The sequence below is a fragment of the Homo sapiens genome, chromosome 10 (genome assembly GCF_000001405.40).
Source record: "Homo sapiens chromosome 10, GRCh38.p14 Primary Assembly".
Lineage (NCBI taxonomy): Eukaryota > Metazoa > Chordata > Mammalia > Primates > Hominidae > Homo > Homo sapiens.
This window is the reverse complement of record NC_000010.11, coordinates 49,762,382-49,785,513: the sequence shown is the minus strand read 5'-3', so window position 1 is coordinate 49,785,513 and position 23,132 is coordinate 49,762,382. Positions and strand designations below refer to the sequence as shown.

Here is a 23,132-nt window from a genome sequence, read left to right as displayed (position 1 = left end):
TTCCCTGTTTTTTTCTTTTGTGTGAATTTTCTGAAGGCTAGACAAACTCTCAGCAAACTTGCAGCATCTTAGAGACTTCTGAATGGCAGGGTAGTACACTACAGGAAGTCAGAGTGGTGAGCTGTGGTCCACAACAGGCTGACCTAGACCTGAACACCAGCTCTGCACAGCTTGGCTGCGGGGCCCTGACAACCACCCTCACCAGACCCCAGGTTACTCATTTGAAAATGGGGCTAATGACAGCTCTCTTGTAGGGTTGTGGAATGAATTAGAGATGAGTGCTAGAAAGCATTCATTAAAGGGCCAGCATTTAATGAGTGCTAATAACAGAAGCTCCCACATTTTTTTTTTCCTTCTACACATTGCAGCATAGTTTAGTCCTGGTTGCTAATGCTCTCCTTTTACTTCTCACATACTATACCCCCAATACACAGTCCCAATGGCCCAAGGACTGTCGCTACAATAAAACACCTTCAGATGCCAAGACAACATTATCTCTAAAAGTGGGAGCTGTCTGAATTATCTGTGCTAGATTGGATGTGCTATATTATTCCACACACACAAGACCACTTAAGCAATCAATAATCATTATGATAACAGAGTGTGACAAATGTCCTCTGGCATTTTTAAAAGCACATGGCTTCCTCTGGCTCGTCATTGAGAGGATCTGGCCAGTTGGGAGCTGAAGGAGGGCCCAGGCCTGCATGGGGAAGGCAATCGCTCCCAGAGCCGGGGTCCTGGGCAGCGTGGGCTCCACCCGCCATGGGACCAGTCGGTCTGTGGACCGTCCTTGGACAACACCAGGCTTCTGAGTCCTGAGTTACAAGCAGGTTTCTGCTAAGGCGAAGCAAGCTCTCTCTCTCTCTCTCTGCCTTGGCCTTCCATGAGGCTGTTTAAAAGATTAAACAGTTGCTACTTTGCCTCCAAGAAAAATTACTTTCCAGTCCTTTGGCACCATATTTTGGCTTCCTACCATTTAGAGTAATTGATAATTCCCTTGCTTTTATCACCTTCAGGAAAAAAAAAAAAAGAAGAAGTTGTCCTTAGATGGAAACATTTTTTTCTGTTTCCCTTTAAATACAGGACCCTCCCACCCTCTGTGAGCAGACCTGAAAGCCACCAGTCTTTACTATTTTCCCTGAGAGCAAATCTCCGCTGTGAACAAGGTCATCAGCATCTCTAATGTGCCCTGAACACCCTGCATTGATTAAACGTCAGCATGGTGCCTGGAGAATGTTCTCCCTCCTTACTTGATTCTCATCCTCAGGAGACAAACAAAACATAAATTCTTGAATATGGTAGATGAGTACAGGTGCCTTCAAAATCAGATTCTAGCCCCCGTTTCCAGTTCAGCATCATCTCTCTCTGCAGTCTGTCACCATCTCATCCTACCCCTTCCTCTGCTTGGAATTTCCTCCATCTCTTCTCAAATTAAGTTCCTACTCATCTTTGAAGATCCAGCCCAAATGTGACTTCCTGGGGGAGGCCTTCCCTGACCCTCTTAGACAGAATCAGCCCTTCTCCTCCCACTGTAAGCTCCCCAGGGCCCCTTACCCTATGCAGCCATGCTTCTAAAACCCTGGAGTTCCTGCTACAATGCAGATTCTGGTTCTGGAGCCTAAGATTCTTTTCTAACAAACCCCCAGGTGGTGCTGCCGCTACAGGTCCACGCAATGCTTCGAGTGGAAGAATGCAGTGTTCTCAGCACAGGGTTTTGTTCTCATTTGTGTGTGTGTCTTACCATTCTGCTTTAGCAGGACACCGACTGGCTATCTCATCCCTGAGTTCCCAGCCCTGAGCACAGAGCAAACTGCAAAAGTCAATGTGTTGAATGAGGACACCTCCCTTGTCACGCTCACATCAGCTTTCCCACAGGTCTCTTTCTTCTCCCCTCCCCTCCCCCTTCCCTCGCTCTTCCCTCCCCCTTCCCTCCCCCTCCCCTCCCTTTCCTCCTTCTCTCCTTCCCTCTCTCCCTTCCTTTTTTTTTTTTTTTTTTTTTTTTTTTAAGACAGGGTCTTGTTCTGTCACCCAGGCTGGAGTGCAGTGGTGCAATCATGGCTCACTGCAGCCTCGACCTTCCAGGCTCAAGAGATCCTCCTGCCTCAGGCTTCCAAGTAGCTGGGATTACAAGTGCACACCACTGTGCCCGGCTACATTTTTAAATTTTTATAGAGACGGGATCTTGTTGTGTTGCCCAGGCTGGTGTCAAACTCCTGGCCTGAAGCAATCCTCCCACCTGAGCCTTCTGAAGCACTGGGATTATAGGCATGAGCCACTGAACTGGGTTAGGCCTTTCCTTTTTGGTGTTCACTTTTAAGGCACACCCAGACTGTTTGCATTTTAACTCAGTAAACAGATATTTACAGACAAGATACAAAGCACAGCCAGGCTTTCTCAAGGCGAAAGAGCTGGTAGCTTCTGTTGCTCAGTGCCTTCCAGACTTCAGCCCCCTGTTCACACGCCCACTTCTCATTCTGTGTGCGTTCTGCCTGTTCTCATGTTTAGTGAGTGTGGCTGGAATCCATGGAGGTGGGACTTGGATTTCATTCCCATCCAATTCAACTGATGAGTATCCTAGTTTTAGACATGGTACTCTGAGGATGGTGGAAGGAAGGTGAAGTTTGTGGAGGAAGAGTGGCTCGCATCCATTCGTCATCCCTCGATGGTCTCAGGTTCACTTTGCATCATGAGCACTCAAGAGTTAAAAAGGTCTCATTTCTTGACCCCAGATCATGTCCTCAAGCCATTGTCTTTTTTTATGTTCTCTCTGGCTTGGCTTTTTTTTTTTTTTTTTTGCATGTGGTTTGATATGTACGATGAGCTCACAAGCAAAATTAAATTATATCATGAAGTGATAAAATGCATACAGTGGAGTTGACTTGCCATGAGCATTTGAGATGATGCAGTTCTGTCCTGTTTAAAAATATTAAGCAGCCATAGCATGTCCTATCTGGAAAGAAGCTTGCAGAGATCCTCTGGTCTATACCTATTCCCAAGTAGGGAAACTGAGCCCAGAGAAGCCACCTGGCCTCTCAGGACTCCACAAGCAGAGTGCATTCAAGCTAGGATCAGAAACCAGGACCCCTGGCAACTCCTTCCTTACATGTGCAACCCCTTGCTCTTGAACCTGATGGTTAGAACTAGTCTCCCTGTAATACACTTCCTGTGTCTGGGAGACTCAAAGGCCTCTTTTAGCCTCTGAAAGCTAACTTTTAAAAAATTTCAGGTGCATCGCTATTTGCTCAAAAGTTCTATTGCCCTTCTTCTTGACTCACATGTGTCCGGAGGTGGTTCCTTCCAGTGGGTTCTTGGTCTCGCTGACTTCAAGGATGAAGCCATGGAGGTTCACAGTGAGTGTTACAGCTCTTAAAGGTGGCACAGACCCAAAGAGTGAGCAGCAGCAAGATTTATTGTGAAGACCCAAAGAACAAAGCCTGCACAACACGGAAGGGGATCAGAGCATTGTTGCTGCTGGCTGGGGTGACCAGCTTTTATTCCCTTATGTGTCCCCACCCACGTCCTGCTGATTGGTCCATTTTACAGAGTGCTGATTGGTCCATTTTACAGAGTGCTGATTGGTGCATTTATGATCCTTTAGCTAGACACAGAGTGCTGATTGGTGCATTTACAATCCTCTAGCTAGACAGAAAAGTTCTCCAAGTCCCCACTTGACCCAGGAAGTCCAGCTGGCTTCACCTCTCAACATTGGTGGTCAGCTTAAATTCTTCAAGACATTAAAATCTGCCCTTCTTAGGCCCTGGGCCCTGCAGTTTCCATCAGACATGACTTATTATGCTGGGTCATGATTTCCCGTTTATTTATCTGTTTCTGCTGTGCAGACTGTGAGACGCCTGAGGGCAGGGATCATGTCCCTAGCACAGAGTAGAACTCAGTAAGGTAAGAATCTACTTGCTAGGAAAAGGAGAGTCTCATGCATCCACTAATCCTGACTCAGGTGACATTCACATTTTGCATTCAGATCTCCTTAATAGTCACTGACAATGTCTGGCTGCAGGCTTAGCTCATCCCTTTGGAGAAGGATGCTGTTAGGCTGTGACCCAGAGGCTAGTTTATTAGGCCCTGCTTTTTTCCCTTGGGTCTCTTCCATGATGACTCATGCATCTTGTAATTTGATGTCAGTGTTCAGACACAGCTAAGCTATAATAATCTCAGAAATGGCAAAGAAAACATAATTCATCAAAGGAAAAGCCACCATGTATCTGCCACCATGCATAGCAGAAGTGATCAGACCTTAATGACTAAAAGTAGTTTTTTTTTTTGAGGCAGAGTCTTGTTCATGTAGCAAACTTACTTCATTCCTTCCATAGTCATTTCCATTAAATTCCACACATTTATCAAGCACTTAATATGGGCAATCGAATGTACGTTTTGTTTGAGGGGAGCCACGTCCTATTTAGGAGGGAGCAGCTGGGGGTGTTGGGCTGGGGATCAGGAGGACTGGCCGCCAACCCTGCCTCTGCTATTCCCAGTCCAGTCCCCTCTCCATGTACCACAGCTCCATTCAAGTCGTATGAATGCTCCCAAAGAGCTTTGCACCCAAGAGCTGAACCTGAAAGCTATTTCTTTTTTCTAGAGGTTTGTCGGTGAAATAATTTAGACTTGGAGACTGAGATCTTTCTTCTATTTCTGGCAGGTCCCAATTTGAGATTTCCTTAGATTGATTTAGTTTTCTTATTAGCAATTCATTATTGCATGTTAATAATAGCTAGACTTACCAACTAAATACTTATAAAAGTATTTTGTTCCAAGTCAGTGACTCCAGTGAATCAATTAGAGCAGTCTTGGATGCCGGGATCTTAGAAATCGAACCTGTGGGTGTACCCGGAGGAGGTCTCCCAGACCAGTGTGGGGTCCAGCCCCTCAAGATTGTCCCATTAGGAGGCTGACGGCTGATGCTTAGCCCTGTCAAGACCCCTTGACAAGACTCTGGCAAGAACTCTGGGGACAGAGGAGATACTGTGTCTTTGGGCTCTTCTCCATTGGAAGCTGCAGGAGAGCACATAAGGACAGGAGCTCCTCCCCAGCTGGAGGTGAGCTATGTTCTCAGAGCTGCCCATCCAGAAGTTCCTCTAGGGTGGTGGAGACAAGGTCAGTGGATCCAGTACCTTTGGGTGTGGTTTCCACGTGGTACGAGTTTCCCTTCCCTCTGATCCCCATCTCCTTCCCTAGCCAGAATCCCTAGGGGCTGGTTCCCCAGGGCTGTAAGCTCAGATCTGCATCCCTTGGCATAGCACAGAGTAGGTGCTAGATATCTGAGAGGAGGGGAGAGAAAGAAGGAGAGACAGAGAAAGGGGAGAGAAAGAAGGAGAGACAGAGAAAGGAGAGAGAGAGAGAGAAAGAAAGAAGGAGAGAAAGGAGAGAGAGAAAAAAAAGAAGGGAGAAGGAGAGAAGGGTTGAAATGGACTGAACGAGACCCTGAAATGCTAGAAGCTGAAGACTTGGCCTTCCTCAGCACACTCCTTTCTTATCCTAACACTTGACAAAAAGTCATTATCAGTCTGAAAATAATGATAGATTCATACAGAATTTATGTCAGGGGCCAATAAGACAGATAACTGCAGGAGCCAGGGGGGTTACACAACCTGGAGAGAGGAAAGTAGTAGGGAATAGTGAGGTCTGTGAACAAGTAGAGTTGACATGCCCAATCTAAAGGCAATGGATTTAAATTTCTAAAACGTTTCTATTAACTGGATAAGATGCCTTTGATTGAGCTCAAAGGACCTTGGTTTAGGTTTTCTAGTAAAATAGGTGTTTTGAGTACAGTTCAACAAACCAGGCAATTAAGTATGAAGAACAAAAAATGGTAAGGAAGCAAGTGTGGCAGACAGGCAAGTGGGAGCTCTGCCAAGGGTGGTGTGGCTTTGGCCTGGTGGGGGACAGGGCTCATTTAGGAGACCACCAGAAGATTCAGGTGCCATCTGTAAGTTCCCAAAACGGCTCACAGGGGCATCTCTCCAGGAACACGGCCCTAGCAGCAAGACAATAATAATGATAATGATAATGCCACAGTTGCAGCTGATGTTCACAGGGCAGTTGCTACGTGCTGGGCATTGTGTTTGGCACCATCTTTAAAGTTTTTTAATTTTAAAAATAGACTTTGTTTTGTAGAGGAGTTTTCTATGCACTGCAGAATTGAGCAGGAAGTGCAGTGAGTTCCCATATATCCACCCCCGAGCCTCCCCAACTGTTAACATTAGCACCAGAGTGGCGCATTTGTTACAGTGGGTGAACCTGCATTGACATGTCATCAGAGGCCACCATTTACATTGGGGTTCATCTTGATGTTGTACATTCTATGAGTTTAGACAAACGTCAAATGACATATATCTACCGTTAAAATAGTTTTAACTGTCCTGAAAGTCTTTTAGCACTGTCTTTTTTTTTTTTGAGATGGAGTCTCGCTCTGTCGACAGGCTGGAGTGCAGTGGTGCAATCTCGGCTCGCTGCAACCTCCGCCTCCTGGGTTCAAGCGATTCTCCTGCCTCAGCCTGCCGAGTAGCTGGGATTACAGGCGTCTGCCACCACGCCTAGCTAATTTTTGTATTTTTAGTGGAGATGGGGTTTCACCATGTTGGCCAGGCTAATCTCAAACTCTTGACCTCAGGTGATCCACCCGCCTCGGCCTCCGAAAGTGCTGGGATTACAGGCGTGAGCCACTGTGCCCGGCCTAAAAATAGTTCTTTAGAAGACTTTTGCACACCTTTATATCACTCCCCGCGCACACCAAATACTTCATATAAGGTTGTTTCACCCCACAATTTACACGCTTGAGATCCAGGGTGACTCAGTGATGGATCTGGAGTTTAGTGTTAAGTCCTCCATCACTTCCTGTGTCATGGCTTTTCTCCTATGATACTGCCATACCAAATGGAAAAACCATTTGGCAGTATCTACCATACCCCGAGACTCAGCAATTCTACTTTTGGAAATGTATCTAATAGAAATGAGGGCTTAGGTCCACCAAAAGACACGTACTAGAATATTCATAGACCATTATTTATAGTAGAAAAAATTTCTGAAGTCCAACAGGAGTAGAATGGGCGAATGAATTGCTGTATATTCATACAATGGAATACTATACAGCAATGAAAATGACCAAGACATCCAATAAAGATGAATCTTACAAGCATAATGTTGATTGAAAGAAATCAGATACAAGAGATTTATACTGCACTATTCCATTTATATAAAGTTCAAAACCAGCCCAAGTTAACCTATGGTGATAGAGATCAGAATGATGGCTGCCTCTGGGAAGCACTGATTGGGAGGCAGTACCTGGGAGCCTTCTGGGGATGCTGGAAACTATCTTTGTGCTTATCTGGATCGCAGTTACATGGGTGTATACCATGTAAAAATTAAGCCGTGCACATAAGATTGATGTACTTAACTGTATGTAATGGCAAAAACAGCAATTACTTTTTCACCAACCTAACATATAAGTTACAGCTCAAGAAAAAAGTTTTTAAAAAGGAGGATGTTAAAATTGTGTCTTTCTGTGTATATATGTGTAGGTGAGTTTATATTGTACACACAAGTTTGAATTTTTTTCTATCCCTTACTGGCATTAGACCCTGGGCTGGTCTAATCTCTCCGTGTTTTAGTTTCCTCAAAAAGGGGATAATAATAACAATATTTTCCTCATAGACTTGTGAAAATTAAATAAATTAAATTCAAAATTTTAAAGCACTTAATACCTGGCACACAGTAAGTGCTTTATAAGTATTGACTATAATAGCATTCTATCAGAAGCATTTTTCAATGTAACACTCTTCATGAACACATTTCTTAAAGATTAGAAAATAAGCCATCATATAGCTGTATATTAATTTATTTAGCCATTTCCCTACAATTAGACTTTTAGGTTGTTTCTAACTTAGGGCTATTCTAAACAATGCTGCAAGAAACATCTCCATGTGTGTAACTTTGCTATTTTTAAACTTGCTTATTTGGGATAGATTTCCCAACAGAGCATTCCACAGTGGACATTTTGAGGTTTCTGATATGTATTTACAATTGGCTGTATGGATACTCCTATAATCTGGATGCCCTGAGATGCCTCAGAGTCCTTTACCAGGTCACCCAGTAATTAACCCCCTCAGAGCCCGTAGCTCTGGGCAGAGGAGGAGGAAAGAGATGCTAGCAGAGATGTATAGGGAGGTGGAAGGCTTGGCAAAGGAGAGTACTGCCATATCGGTCTTGGTTGAGCCACCATGGTTAAATACCATCTTGTCACTTTCCATATTTTGTGCTCTGTAGCATAAGATCATTTATTTGGCTTTTATAACATTCTACTCCCCTGACTGTAAAGTGCTACACATTAGTTAATTTTTTTTTAATGAATTAATTCTGAAGTCTAGAGACATTTGAGATTCTGTGGCTCCCTGAGATGCTGTAAATCCAGAGCTGGGAATTGTGCCTGCAGTGGCAGAAGCTGCCAGGTCACCAGATGGCAAAAGAGTGGAGGTCCGGGCGCTGCCTTTGGTCCTGAAAGTTCAGCTGCTTTCTGGCTGCCCACTGTTCCACACTTGGTGGGACAAGTGCATTCACTTTTCTTGCGTGATGCAGCCAGATCTCATTTCCTTTAGTAATTATGCTAAAATCTCCAGCTTTAGAAATTAAGACAACAATTAGCCAACCTCCGAGAGATTTATTTCTTTGGCCCTGATATGACCATGGAAGGATGAGAGGCCAAAGAGAAGAATGGAGCCAGACATAAATGATTAACAATAATAAAAACGTTAAAAATGTGTTATTTTAAAATGTAGATATTAATGCAATGCAAACTCCTAAAAAGAAATGCCTGTTTGTGAACCACACACAAGCAAGGCCTTCCCATTTCATATTTCTGTGGTCTTCCATAAAAGTCATAGTAGGAAACACTCCCTAGTGGCACTTGGAAAAGAAATAACTGCCTCTGAGGAAGTGGCAAAAGGAAAAATGTTTCCAAATATTGGAACTCTTGAACATAGATAGGCAAGATGGAGTTGTTTTTTTATTTTTTTTAGAGATGAGCTATTGCTATGTTGTCCATGCTGAGCACGAACCCCTGGGCTTAAGAGATTCTTCTGCTTCAGCCTCCCAAATAGCTGGGAATACAGGTACATCACCACACCCGGACAAGATGGAGGTTTTTTTTTTTTTTAATTGTTTTTCTTTTTCAACTTTTATTTTAGATTCAGAGGGTACATGTGCATGTTTGTTATGTGGGTATATTTTGTGATGCTGAGGTTTGGGATACAAATGGTCCCATCATCCAGGTACTGACCATGGTACCTTGATACTGACCAGGTACTGACAATGTTAGTTTTTCAACCTTGGCCTTCCCCCAGTAGTCCCCAGTGTCTATTCTTGCCGTCTTTATGTCTATGTGTACCTGATGTTTAGCTCCCACTTATAAGTGAGTAAATGCGGTATCTGGTTTTTCTATTCCCGCTTTAATTCACTTAGGATAATGGCCTCCATCTGCAACCATGTTGCAGCAAAGGACATGATATTATTCTTTTTTTCTTTTTTGGCTGTGTAAGATTTTGTGGTGTATACATACCACATTTTCTTTATCAAATCCACTGTTGATGGGCACCCAGATTCATTCCATGAGTTTGCTATTGTGAATAGTGTGCTGTAATGAACCTGCAAGTGCATGTGTCTTTTGGTAGGACAATTTGTTTTCTTTTGGACATATACCCACTAATGGGATTGCTGGGCTGAATGGCAGTTCTAAGTTCTTTGAGAAATCCCAAACTGCTTTTCACAGTGGCAGAACTAATTTACATCACCACAAGTGGTGTGTAAGCGTTCTCTTCTCTCTGCAGTCTTGCCAACATCTATTGTTTTTTGACTTTTTAATAATGGCCATTCTGACTGTGTGAGATGGTATCTCATTGTGGTTTTGATTTTCATTTCTCCGATGATTAGTGATGATGAACAATTTTTCATGTTTTTTGGCCACTTGTATGTCTTTTTTTGACAAGCACCTGTTCATGTCTTTTGCCCCATTTTAATGGGGTTATTTGTTTTCTGCTTGTTCAATTGTTTAAGTAAAGATGGAGTTTTTATTTAACATATTTAAAGATGAACTCACTGAAAATTAAGCCACGAAGTTGGTCCTTTTTATGCATCCTTTTTGTTGACAGCCTTACCTAGGGCATAATTTTCTCTAAAGGGCTGAAACATTCTTGATATTACAGAGAGCAGTGCCTCTCAAATTTAATGTGCATGTCACTTGGGAATATTGTTTAAATATGGATTCTGATTCAGTAGGTCTAGGGTGGGGCTAGGATTCTGCATTGCTAACAAACTCCTAGATGATGCTGATGCTTCTGGTTTGTGGATCAAAGTCTGAATAGCAAAGACATAGACAACGATGAAGTCCAGTTTCTAGAAGACATTGAACACTCTGCTACTGAGTCTCTGAGCTCAAAACTTAAGGCCTGTTTCCTGGAGCTTCCTGAGTGGTCAACAGAGACCCTCTTTCTAGCTGTGATTCATGGTGTGAATAAGGACAGACAAATGTCTCCTTTCCCCTCCCAGGTCAACCACTGAGAACATGTTGCAAACTCTCTTGGTGGAGTTTAAATAATGAAGTGATGTCTTGATCTGCCGATGTTTCAATAGCTCAGTACTTCCTTATGAAATCAATCGAACCCAACCAACAATGACATTGATTATTCCCTAAGGCCGTCATCTCTAGCCCACACACTTCATATAATATAGGAGGCTCTCCCAATCTTATTAACTAACCTCAGCCCATACTTCCTCCCTGCTTCCATTGGAAGTTAATTATCCTGCTGGTATTTCTAAGGCACTGTGTTTATCATTGCCTAAAGATTTTTCAGAAAAGAAGAGGATTAATAAATGTCAGAGCCAGCTTTCTTAATTTTTATTATAATGCAAAAGGAAAGGAAACCAAGTGGCATCTGCATTCATATTTGTAGATTCACTGGAATTTGGGGTTCAAGAATGAAGCTAAATCTGGCAGACCAGGACTGAGTGACCTGCTCAATATTGTAATTACCTGCAAGTTTATCATATGATGGAAAAATGCTCCTGAGATAATCTTTTTTTTTTTTTTTCATTTAACCTAACTTTATTCATGCTTGCCTTGGGATGGGGAATAGATCATTCAGTAAAAACATACAGTAAAAACAAAATGTCTTATCATGTACAACTTTTAAAGTACAATAATGATGTACCTTAATTACTTCCATGTACACAATTCTAACTTTTTTTTAAATAAACACAAACTTCTCGGATCATTTTATAATAAAGTAATTCCTAATTAATTTTTCTTTGTAGATAGATCAAGCACCTCCAAAATACAAATTCTTATACACAGTGAGCATGTTACTTAAAATGAACACTTAAGTAAATTAAGTATGTGGACAGGCTTAGGATAAGCTGACATTATAGATTCAGCTAGGAAAGCAACAAACCATAGTGTCAAATGGAAAAAGTGTATTTACAAATACATTTTAAAAACTAAGTTAATTTTAATAATTAAATACAGAAAATATACTAAAATAAATAAGATGCGATGTATTAACACTTCACTATAAAGAATGCATACCAGAACATTTATAAACAGTGAATGAGTCTTATTAAGAATAGTTTACTACAATAAACGCTGGCTAAATAGAAGTGCATATTGTGAAGCACTATGGTGGTATATGTTTTGCCACATACTCTTGTTACCTTGAGGTAGATAACACATGTGTACCAAATTCAGCATTCATTTTCAGTTGCTGCTGGTATCATGTGTTTTGAGAAATGTGTACAGTATGAAAAACTTGAAAATACTCATGAATGAATAATGTCTTAGAAAAAATAGCTATTTTCATGCAATTATGTACAGTCTCACTGTGTAAATTTCAAGGCAAGGTTTGTTTCCTGTAAAACAGATCATTGTTCTATGAGAGAATGTTCTTTACCTGTCTTAGTGCATTTCTTTTCTCCTGCATTGCATTATTTTGCTCTAGTCTTTACTTTTGTGAGCAAATGACATGCCAGTTAAAATAAAAACTATCTCACATGTAGAAAAAGAAAGTCTGGATTTTAAAAGCCAAGAACTAATAAAATCCTTACTAAATGACACCATCTGATTCAAGTAAAAAATGACTTAAACACTAGTAATAAAAAAAGACAAAACACATTTCATGCAGAATACAAAGATAAATGTCTGCTGAGTGTTTTAGTTCAGAAGTTTCAGACTGCTACTGTATGTTTGATGAGGAATATTAGAGGAAGATTTCATAGCAGAAGGTGTTAATGTGGCCTGTGTTGACTTAAGTGGTGACCCAACTGGACTGTGAAACTGCGGGATGCCTATGGACTCGAGCTGCTTTTTGTCAGGCCTCGGAGCCCAAGCTAAGCCATCATATCTTCTGTGATCAGCACGTATACATCCAGATGGCCTGAAGTAACTGAAGAATCACAAAAGAAGTGAAAATGGCCTGTTCCTGCCTTAACTGACGACATTACCTTGTGAAATTCCTTCTCCTGGCTCATCCTGGCTCACAAGCTCCCACACTGAGCACCTTGTGACCCCCACCCCTGCCAGCCAGAGAACAACCCCCTCTGACTGTAATTTTCCTTTACCCACCCAAAACCTATAAAACAGACCCACCCCATCTCCCTTCACTGACTCTCTTTTCGGACTCAGCCCGCCTGCGTCCAGGTGAAATAAACAGCCTTGTTGCTCACACAAAGCCTGTTTGGTGGTCTCTTCACATGGACGCGACTGAAACTTGTTAAAGAGGAACTCCCCACTGTTGTTCAGAAACCTTTCCTCATTTCCTCTCTCCCCAAGCTCTTCTTCCTCTACTGGCTCAGTTTCTAGCATTTCAGTATCTTCTTTCCTGCTAAAGAACTTGTCCAAGTAACGAGTGTAAGTGTTTTCTTTCTCAACTTGTTCATCCTTCCTTACGTCACAAAACTGATTGATGAGAAAACAGTCCTCCCCACCACTCACACACTGGCTGTCCCAAGAAGATTGGTACAAGGTTTCTAACTGAGCCAGATTTGCCATTCCTTTTTCCTGTTTTTCTTGGCTTACTGACTTTGATATCAAGCTTTTCAATTCTAGTTGGGACACTGAGCTATTCAAGTCATTTAATTTATCAACAACATCAGTAGGCTCATGTTGGGAACTAAGTTGAATAGTTCCTGCAATAAAGGAATCAAAATCAAATCCATGATTCTTTTCCCTTTCTTTTCCAGCCAGTTGCTGTGATGCTTCCTTTAGTGCTATCTGGCTTTAACCAATCCATTCCTTTCACATTTTGATTTGCCTTATCAGATTTTTCTTTGCTTGTTCTTTCCAATTGGAAAGATCTATAATAAGCTTGGGTTCATAGTAATGGTTCACTCTCTCTCCAAACTAAGTTATCTAAATATGATGATGACCTCGTTTTGCAGTTACAAGTATGGCTACACTCCAGATCGCAATATTTGTTTTCATGATGATCTGGGTACTGCCAGCAAGGCTCAGTAGAGTAATTGGTATCAAAAGCAGGATCCTCCAGATACTTTTCCCGATCTCCATCCAAATATTTTCAGGGGTCAACCTGTACTTCTTCTTCATCAGTGGCATCAGACAGAGCTCTTGGATCAAGCTGAACTTCATCAATATCAAAGTTGTTATGTATAGGCCAATCATTGCCAATTATATTGCCTTTTCCTTTTGAATTGTTGAACTTGTGTAAACAAGGAAGAAAACTGGCATCCAAAGGAAAGATCTTTCAAAAAGAGAGAAAAAAAAAATAATTATGCTTCCACAGCAAGATGGTTTCTTGATGTTCATTGCATACGCCAAACAGGCCTGTTGAGTTTCCCTTAGATTTAAAGCTCAAAAAGCTCTACTCATATTGAGAATTAAAAAGATTGCAGTACTCATAGTCCAAGAAAGGGGCAGCAACTCTGCAGACATTTAAAGAAAACACTCAAGAAACTCAAACGGAATGAAATGATATACTATGCACTCAGATTACTGTGCTAAACGATTTAACATTTAACAAAAATGTGAATAAATATGCACACAACAGGCTTCTATGAACATTCTCCTCACAGTGCATATACATTCAGTGTTGGACTGGTCCTGAGCAGCATCATTCTAAGGTGCTGTTAAGCACTATTTCCGTTTTGCTTCTTTTCTTCCTTTGTTGCTATATATTTCAACAGGAAGCCCTGGCGGCTGTTGGTTAACAGAAGGTGTCTTTTGTTAGTGATCAGGTGGCTCCAGCTCACCACAATCACAATCAAAGCTACCGTCCATCTTACTCTGATACAATGGGACTTCTCCAACTCATCGAGAGAGTGCAGGGCCTGCAGACAGCCCCCAGCTCAGGTCTCCGGCTGTGCTGGCCGCAGTGGCGTCTCTGAGGCTCTCGCTTTGCCGCGGTAGCTGCCATGTAACCATGACCCATGAGAGAGCGCTTCTGAGATAATCTTAAGTGAAAAGGGACTCTGCAAATTGTGAAGACAGTATAACCACAACTTTGGTAAAAGTTTGAATACCATGTAAGGGAAGAAAAATTGGAAGGAAAACACTAAATGATAAACTCAACTAAGGTGGTTGAGTTTAAACAGGAAAATATGAATATTCTTTCCTTTTACAATTTTTTTGTGCTTTTTAGTGTTTTTATAATGAGCATGTATTGACATTGCAATTGAAAAGAAAATCTGGACTCTAAAAAACACTCAATTAATGGGCCAGGTGCAGTGGCTCACACCTGTAATCCCAGCACTTTGGGAGGTGGATCGCTTGAGCTCAGGAGTTTGAGACCAGCCTGGGCAACATGGTGAAACCCTGTCTCTACAAAGCACACAGAAATTAGCCAGGCATGGTGGCACGTGCCTGTCCTACCAGTTACTTGGGAGGCTGAGGTGAGAGCATCACTTTAGCCCAGGAGGTGGAAGTTGCAGTGAGCCGTGATCATGCCACTGCACTCCAGCCTGGGTGACAGAGCGAGACCCTGTCTCAACAACAACAAAAAAGACAACAAAAAGACACTCGGTTAAGAGACCTTACCTTCTGTCTGATTTGTTAACCATGTCAGTGTTCTTTCTTTTGTTTTATTCTTTGGTCTCTCTGTCTTCTCTGCCTATTCAGAGCTGAGGGTGCTCCCTGCACCTGCCAGAAGTCATCTGTACTCTGAAACTACTGTGAAGGCAGGGACTGCTTATGTCTCTGTACAGCAAGATCAGGTTAGTTCTCCGAGGGTAGTGAGGAAACAATTCTCTTGGCCTCAAATAAATATTAAGGCCCAACTCTGCATAAGGTGAGGCCTCCTAAGAGGTGGTAACTGTGCCCCATAGAGGCAGGGGGCCTGGAGCACACCTTCAGGGGCCATAAGACATCCTTGACTCTTCTTCTCTTACTACCCAAAGCCAAGCTGTCCCAGCCCCACTGACCCTGCCTCTGTAATGCTCTGCACAGGTCCCTCCTCCCCAGGCCTCACTGGTGAAACCTCCATTCACTGGGGTGCTTATGGGAGCTCACCAGTTATCCACCAGCCTCCAGAATGACTTTTCTTTTCCTTCCTTCCTCCCTTCATTTCCTTTTTTTTTCTTTTCTCCTTTTTCTCTTTTTCCTCCCTCCTTCCTCTCTTTTTCCTCCCTTCCTCCCTCCCTCTCTCCCCTTCTCCCTTTCTTTCTCCCTTTTTCTCTCTTTCTTTCTTTCCTAGGCCGCAATGCAGTGGCGAGATCTCGGCTCACTGCAACCTCCGCTTCGCGGATTCAAACAATTCTCCTGCCAGCCTCCAGAGTAGCTGGGATTACAGGCGCTCGCCACCATGCCTGGCTATTTTTTTTTTTTTTTTTTTGAGGCGGTGTCTCACTCTGTCGTCCAGGCTGGAGTGCAGTGGCATGATCTCAGCTCACTGCAACCTCCGCCTTCCAGGTTCAAGCAATTCTCCTGCCTCAGCCTCCTGAGTAGCTGGGATTACGGGGGCGCGCCACCACGCCCGGCTAATTTTTTTATTTTAGTAGAGACAGGGTTTCACCATATTGGCCAGGCTAGTTTCAAATTCTTGACCTCAAGTCATCCGCCCCCCTCAGCCTCTCAGCATGCTGGGATTACAGGTGTGACCACTGCGCCTGGTCAGAATGACTTTTCTACAAAATCTGACTGCGTCTCCTGCTGAAACCCTGAAGAGGCCCTACAGCGGTTTGAGGACTGAAACGTCAGGTAGAACGTTTGAGACCCTTGGCTGGGCCTGGCTATCTCCAAGCCCTGCCCTGGAGCACCTGATGCCGGCCACAGAGAACCCCCTTCCCTCCACCCAGTATCGCCAGACACCCCAGACCCTTGCTCGCCCTCCAGGCCTTGGTCCACAACACTCCCCTCACTCCATTATCCTTTCCCTCTCGCCCAGGAAGGCCTCCCTGATGCATCTGCCTCAGAAGCGCACGCGCAGGGGTCTCCCTGCTTCAGGGGCCGCTGGCATCTTTCCGGGCTTTCCCGGGAGAGATTCCTGTGGTGGGCGCGGGCCTGGCCCACAGGCTCAGCGTCAAGAATCGTCCTCGTCCGCCGCACCTCGCACCTTCCCCAGCGGGGCGCGGCCGCGGCAGGAGGATGAGGAGCGGAGCCCAGGACTGCCGCGCGGATCCGGCCTGCTGGAGGAGCGCGGACCGGGAGTCCCCGCGCGTCGGATCTCCGGCCAAGGTGGCCGCCCCTAGCCGGCGGGCAGCCCAGGCCCCTGCACACCCGCCCTCCCAGCCCCTCCCCGCCGCCCCAGGACACGACCCCGCGTTCCCTCGCGCGGCTTCTGTCTGCGCTCGGACAGACACCGCCGGGAAAACTTGTTCAGCGCCCAGGAATCCTCGCCCAGCCGAGGGCCTCCCAGCGCAGGGTTTCAGAGACCGATGTCGGCTGCTCCCAGCTCCCAGTTCAGCGCGCAGGCGGCGGCGTGAGCTCGCCCTGGGTCGAGAGGTGGTGACCCGGGGTGCCTGGCCACGCGGAGTCGAAACCCGGAGTGGCGACGAAGGAGACGCAGACAGAGGTGTCCTGAGAGCCGGGCTAGGCAGGCGCGGGCTCCCCGCCCCTTGGGGACTCCGCAGGAGGGCACAACCCGGCCAGGCCTGCTCAGAGAGGGGCTTCCCGCCGGGGCCCTGAGGGCTGGGGCGAGGGCCGGAGCGTGCAGCCGCCTGTGAGGGGACGGGCAGGGATGCGTGGCCTTCAGCCCGAGGGCAAGCGATGGCCTGGATGCTGTTTCCTGAAGTCCAAAATCTTGGCTGTGCTCTCCTTGGGGGTTCGCTCCGAGAGGTGGGAGGCCTCAGTTGCTGCAGGGGAGGCGGCAGCAGAGGTTTAAGGGGCTGAATTTGCCTCTGAATCCTGCCGCCTCCAAACGGAAACTCGAGTCCCTGCTGTCTCCATGTCCTGTCCCACCTGGACTGGGGCTGGTGGAAAGGCCGGCTGCAATGGAGCTGGAGGACAGGAGCAGATGGTTGCCCTAGGGGCTCCATCTTTCAGGGAGGAAAACCATGGGTATTCTGGAGGTTGTGGCCCAAAGGCCAAGGCTGGGAGCAGAAGAGGCCTGTGGGAGGCAGTGGTGGAAGCGCAGAGCTTGTCAGAGGGCAGCCTTGTGGAGAAGCTGACCAGCCGGGCCTAGGATCAACACCTGCTGTATCACAGGCTTATCAGAGGAGGCGCCTTCTGCACTTCGGGGCACCCACAGAAGATTTTCAGTATGATGCAGGTCTTGGATCAACTTGATATTCTTAAGGTGGTAAAATTCCCCTTTCAAAGGTTTCTTTGTCAGATAATGAAATGTTCTAAAATTGCACAGTCGGTTGCACAACTCTATGGATATGCTTAAAAAAGAATTGAATGATATATTATATCACGGGTGAATTGTATGGTATGTGAATTATATCTCCATAAAGCTGAACCCAGTAACAGACCCGCACAAATGTGCTCAACTGATTTTTTGACAAAAGTGCAAAAGCAATTCAATGGGGGAAGAACAGCCTTTCAACAAATGGTACTGGGGCAATGGACCGTCCATAGGTTAAAAAAAAGAATTTCAGCCTAAATCTCACATTTTATACAAAAATTAAAGGATAATGAACCAAAATGCAAAATGTAAAACAATAAAACTTCTAGAAAAATAGGAGAAAATCTTCAGGATCTAGGGTGAGGTGAAAAAAAATCTCAGACTAAACACCAAAAACATGAGCCATAAAATGAAAAAATGATATATTGGATTTCATCAGAATTACAAATTTTTGCTCAGTGCACAACCCTACTAAGAGGATGAACAGACAAGCTACAGGCCGAGAGAAAATATTTGCAAATCACGTATCTGACAAAGTCTAGCATCTAGACTATGCAAAGAGCTCTCAAACTCAACAGTAAGAAAAAAAAAGAGTGATCCAATTAGAAAAGGTCTAAAGGACATAAAGAGACATTTCTCCAAAGAGGATATACAGATTACAAACACACACGTGAAAAGATGCTCATTAGCCATCAGGGAAATGCAAATTAAAACCGCAATAAGATATCATGACATACCTATCAGGATGGGTAACACACAGCACCAAATGCCGGTGAGGATGCAGAGAAACTGTATCACCTACACATTGTTGATGGGACTGTGAAGTGGCACATCTACTCTAGAAAAGAGCAGAAGGTTTATAAAAAATGAAACATGCAACTACCATACGACCCAGCAATTGCACTCCAAGGCATTTACCCCAGAGAAATGAAGACTTATGTTCACACAAAAATCTGAACATAAATGTCCATAGCAGGTTTATTTGTAATAGCCAAAATCTGAGCACAATCCAGATGCCCTTTATGAGTGAATGGTTAAACAAACTGTGGTACATCCATACCATGGAATACTACTCAGCAATAAAAAGAGACAAATGACTGATTCACACAACAACCTGCATGAATCTCCGAAGAACTATACTGAATGAAAAAAAGCTAATCCTAAAAGCCTACCTACCCTATAATGCCACTTACATATAACATTATTGAATGCAAAATTATAGAGATGGAGAACTGATTAATGGTTTGGAGGGGTTAAGGAGGAGGTGATGTGGGAGGGAAATAGGTGTGGCTATAGAAGGGCATTTTGAGGGATCCTTGTGGTGATAGAAATGTTTTATATAGTAGTTTGTGCTTATCCTGGGGAGATACGTTCCAAGGCCCCCATGGATGCCCAAATCCTCACATAGTATCAAACCCTATATATACCCTGTTTTTTCCTATACATACCTATGATAATTTTTTTTTCTTTTTCTTTTTCTTTTTTTTTTTTTTGAGATGGAGTCTCACTCTGTTGCCCAGGCTGAAATGCAGTGGCACTCTTTCAGCTCACTGCAACCTCCACCTCCTGGGTTCAAGTGATTCTCCTGCCTCAGCCTCCCGAGTAACTGGGATTGTAGGCAACCATCACCACACCCGGCTAATTTTTTGTATATTTAGTAGAGATGGGGTTTCACTATGTTGGCCAGGCTTGTCTCAAACTCCTGACCTCAGGTGATCCACTTGCTTTGGCCTCCCAAAGTGCTGGGATTACAGGTGTGAGCCACCATGCCTGGCCCATACCTATGATAAAGTTTAATTTATAAATTAGGCCTAGTAAGAGATTAACAACAATAAGTAAGACTATAAAAGAAAAATTATAATAATAGACTGTAATCAAAGCTATGAAAATGTGGCCAAAGCATCTATAAACAAAGTTAAGACAAGTGACAGACTGGGAGAAATGTTGCAACATTTACAACCTACAAAATATTCTTATTCAGAATATGTACAGAGTTTATGTGAATTCAAGCAAAATATAAACAACCTGATAGAAAAATGAGCAAAGTCTATCAATAGGCAATTTGTAGAAAAAGAATACAAAATAAGAAACATATAAAAAGAAACATATAAAAACATATAAAAAGATTTTCAGGCCGGGTGCGGTGGTTCATGCCTATAATCCCAGCACTTTGGGAGGCCAAGGCGGGCAGATCACTTGAGGTCAGGAGTTCAAGACCAGCCTAGTCAACATGATGAAACCCTGTCTTTACTAAAAATACAAAAATTAGCTGGGCATGGTGGTGTGTGCCTATAGTCCCAGCTACTTGGAAAGCTGAGGCAGGAGAATAGCTTGAATCCAGGAGGCAGAGTTTGCAGTGAGCCAAGATCACGCCATCGCATTCCAGCCTAGGTGACAGAGCGAGACTCCACCTCAAAAAAAGAGAGATTTTCAAACTCGCTTATCAGTTTTATGCTAACTAAAACAAAATGTGATTTTTCACCTATCAGACTGGCATAAATGAAAGAAAACTGATAATAAATCTTGGCAAGGATGTAAGGGAGTGGGAACTCAAAAACACTAATGAGGAAGTATTCAGTGGAACGGTCTTACTAGATATTTATTATACATATTAAACTGCAAAGAATATATATCTTTTGACCCATTGTTAAACTTAATTTAGAAATCAGGCTGGGCATGGTGGCTCACTCCCATAATCCCAGCACTTGGGAGGCCAAGGTGGGGGATGATGAGGTCAGGAGTTCAAGACCAGCCTGGCCAACATGATGAAACTCCATCTCTACTAAAAATAAAAAAATTAGCGAGGCATGGTGGTGGGAGCCTGTAATCCCAGCTACTCAGGAGGCTGAGGCAGAAGAATTGCTTGAACCTGGGAGGTGGAGGTTGCAGTGAGCTGAGATCCAGCCACTGCACTCTAGCCTTGGTGACAGAGCAAGACTCCATCTTGAAAAAAAAAAAAAAAAAGAAAAAAAGAAAGAAAGAAAGAAAGAAAGAGAAATCAATGTTACCATAGTAGTTTTGCATGTACTAAAGGGAATATATAGGAGGACTCTTTTCTCCTTTTTTTTCTGTAAATGTCAAAAGAAATGGAAATGTTCATTCAATGGGAGAGAAGTGACATACAGTCACCATACATCCCTATAATGAATACAACATACCCATGAAAAAGAATGAGGTGGTCCTACACATACTGAGTTTAAATAAAAATCTTCAAGACAAGGGAAAAAAAGAAACAAGTCGTGGAACTATATTCTAGTGTGATCCATTTCATATTTTTATGTATATGTTTGTAGAAGCATATGGATATAAATACATAAACAATTTTGTAAAAATGTTTGCCAAACTGGCCAGTAGTTATCTCTGGAAGGAAAAAAAAGAGGTGAGGTTGGGGCAGGTGGAAGGGGGCTTTTCACATTTTGTTCTGTATCCTTCTGTATCATTTAAGTTCTGTACAACTAGAATAAATAAAAACTTCCATGTTCTGACACACACACACACACACACACACACACACACACACACACGCCACAGGCATGGGAAAAAAAGAAAGGTGTCTGTTTCTGAAGATCTCTGCAAAGCCTACAGCCACTGCCACTAATCCTCTCAGGCTTCTGAGAATGGCAGCCACCCTCATGGGAGCGTTGATTGCCCCAAATGTTTGCTTTAATCAATGCAATTAGCAGAACACCAATTAGGCTGGAAGGCTGAAAGGCTCTGAAGCCTTTTGATTTGCAAGAGCCTTGTTCCTGCCTGCTGCTCTGTGTCAGGCTTTCCATCTTTCTTAATCGGTGACTCTGACTTGTAAACTTTTCCACTATTACCCCAAACTGCAGCTTCTCCTTTTCCCTAGCTCACTGAGAAGTTCCACTGTGCCCAAGTCACTAAAGCCAGACACCTGTGAGTTATCTATGTCTCCACCCTCATATCTGGTCAACCACTAAACCCCGTGGAGCTGATCCCCGTAAGTCTCTCAAATCTGGCCACCTTACTCCGTCTCTACTGCAAGTACATTACTGCCTCTCACCCGGAATTTGAATTTTGAAAAACAGAAGAGCCTTGAAGAGACAGTTCCTCTATGGCTCAGCCCTGCTTCCTGAAGTAAATTTTCAGCTTTCCTCTGATTCTGTGAGTTGCCTTATATACAACCTTCATATCAACTCGTTTTCGGCTGAAGCTAGCCAGGTCATTTTTGGTGCTTGTGTCCAAAGAATTCCCAATGAACCCTGCCCTTCTGCACCAGATAAAATCTTACTCATCCTTCAGGATCCAAGTCAAGTGTCCATTTACTCACTCAGTCATTCATTCAACAAATATTTACTGAAAAATACCATGATAGTGCTGTGTTAAGTGCTGAAGATTCTTGACCACATGTATCCCTAACTGTCTCCAAATAAAGAACTTTTGGGAGACTTCAGGTGCAGAAGTTAGTTGTATTCCTTTCTTCGTGGCACTCTGTCAGCAGTGATCTGGGTAATTGATTAATTACCTCATATCCACATTCCCCATCCTCCTCCCTCGACAAGCAACCATATTAATTGGTTTGATATGTACTTGAATATATTCTTGTGAAGTGCATACTGTAGTTTTGAGATTAAAATTCAAGAGTGTAAGTGTAGAAGCAGAGAAGCCAGTTAGGAGGCTGCTGCGATAATCCAGGAGAGATTTGATGGCAACTTGAACCACAGGTATGTTATGTTCCTATACAAGAAATCCCTGCATTTAAATGAGAACAAAACCCAACAGAAAGCTGAAAAAAATACAACAGAAAACCCCAAACTAACAAACAACGGGAGATGCAAATGGTTGATAACCAGAGAAATGCAGATTAAAACAATAACAGGACATTGCATCTGCTATTCTGATAATAATTAGAAAGTTGATCTCTATCCCAGAGAAAGTTCCACGCAGGATCCTAAGGGAATGTGTATGAAGAAGTTCATTGCAGCCTTGTTTGTGGCCACGGGGTGGTGAGGACAGCCTGGGTCACCATCAGTGGGAGGATGAATGGGTAAAATGTGTATCAGATTTGGGGTAAGCACTTTTCACGCATTATCTCATCTTTTTTTCAAAACATCCCTAAGATAGTGGAACTTTTCATAGCATTCCCATTTTACAGACGACAAAACAAAACCTATCCTCTCCTACACACAAAGGCTGCTTGTCGTCTGGTACATTCGTCCTAGTTTTAGGACGAGCACACGGGGTTCAGGGCCTCAGCCCCGTTCTGCGGTCTCAGAGAGGAGTCCCCCCTTCGGCCGTGGGCGACCTCGGGCCTGGGCCGCCAGCACCGTGGACAGCGCCAGGAGCGGGGCGGGGCATCCATGGAGACGTCACGACGCG

General features: G+C 43.7%; 1 pseudogene; it reads right to left on the bottom strand.

Annotated features, from left to right (window-relative positions):
- Positions 11,096–14,451, bottom strand: MAPK6P6 (mitogen-activated protein kinase 6 pseudogene 6; annotated as a pseudogene).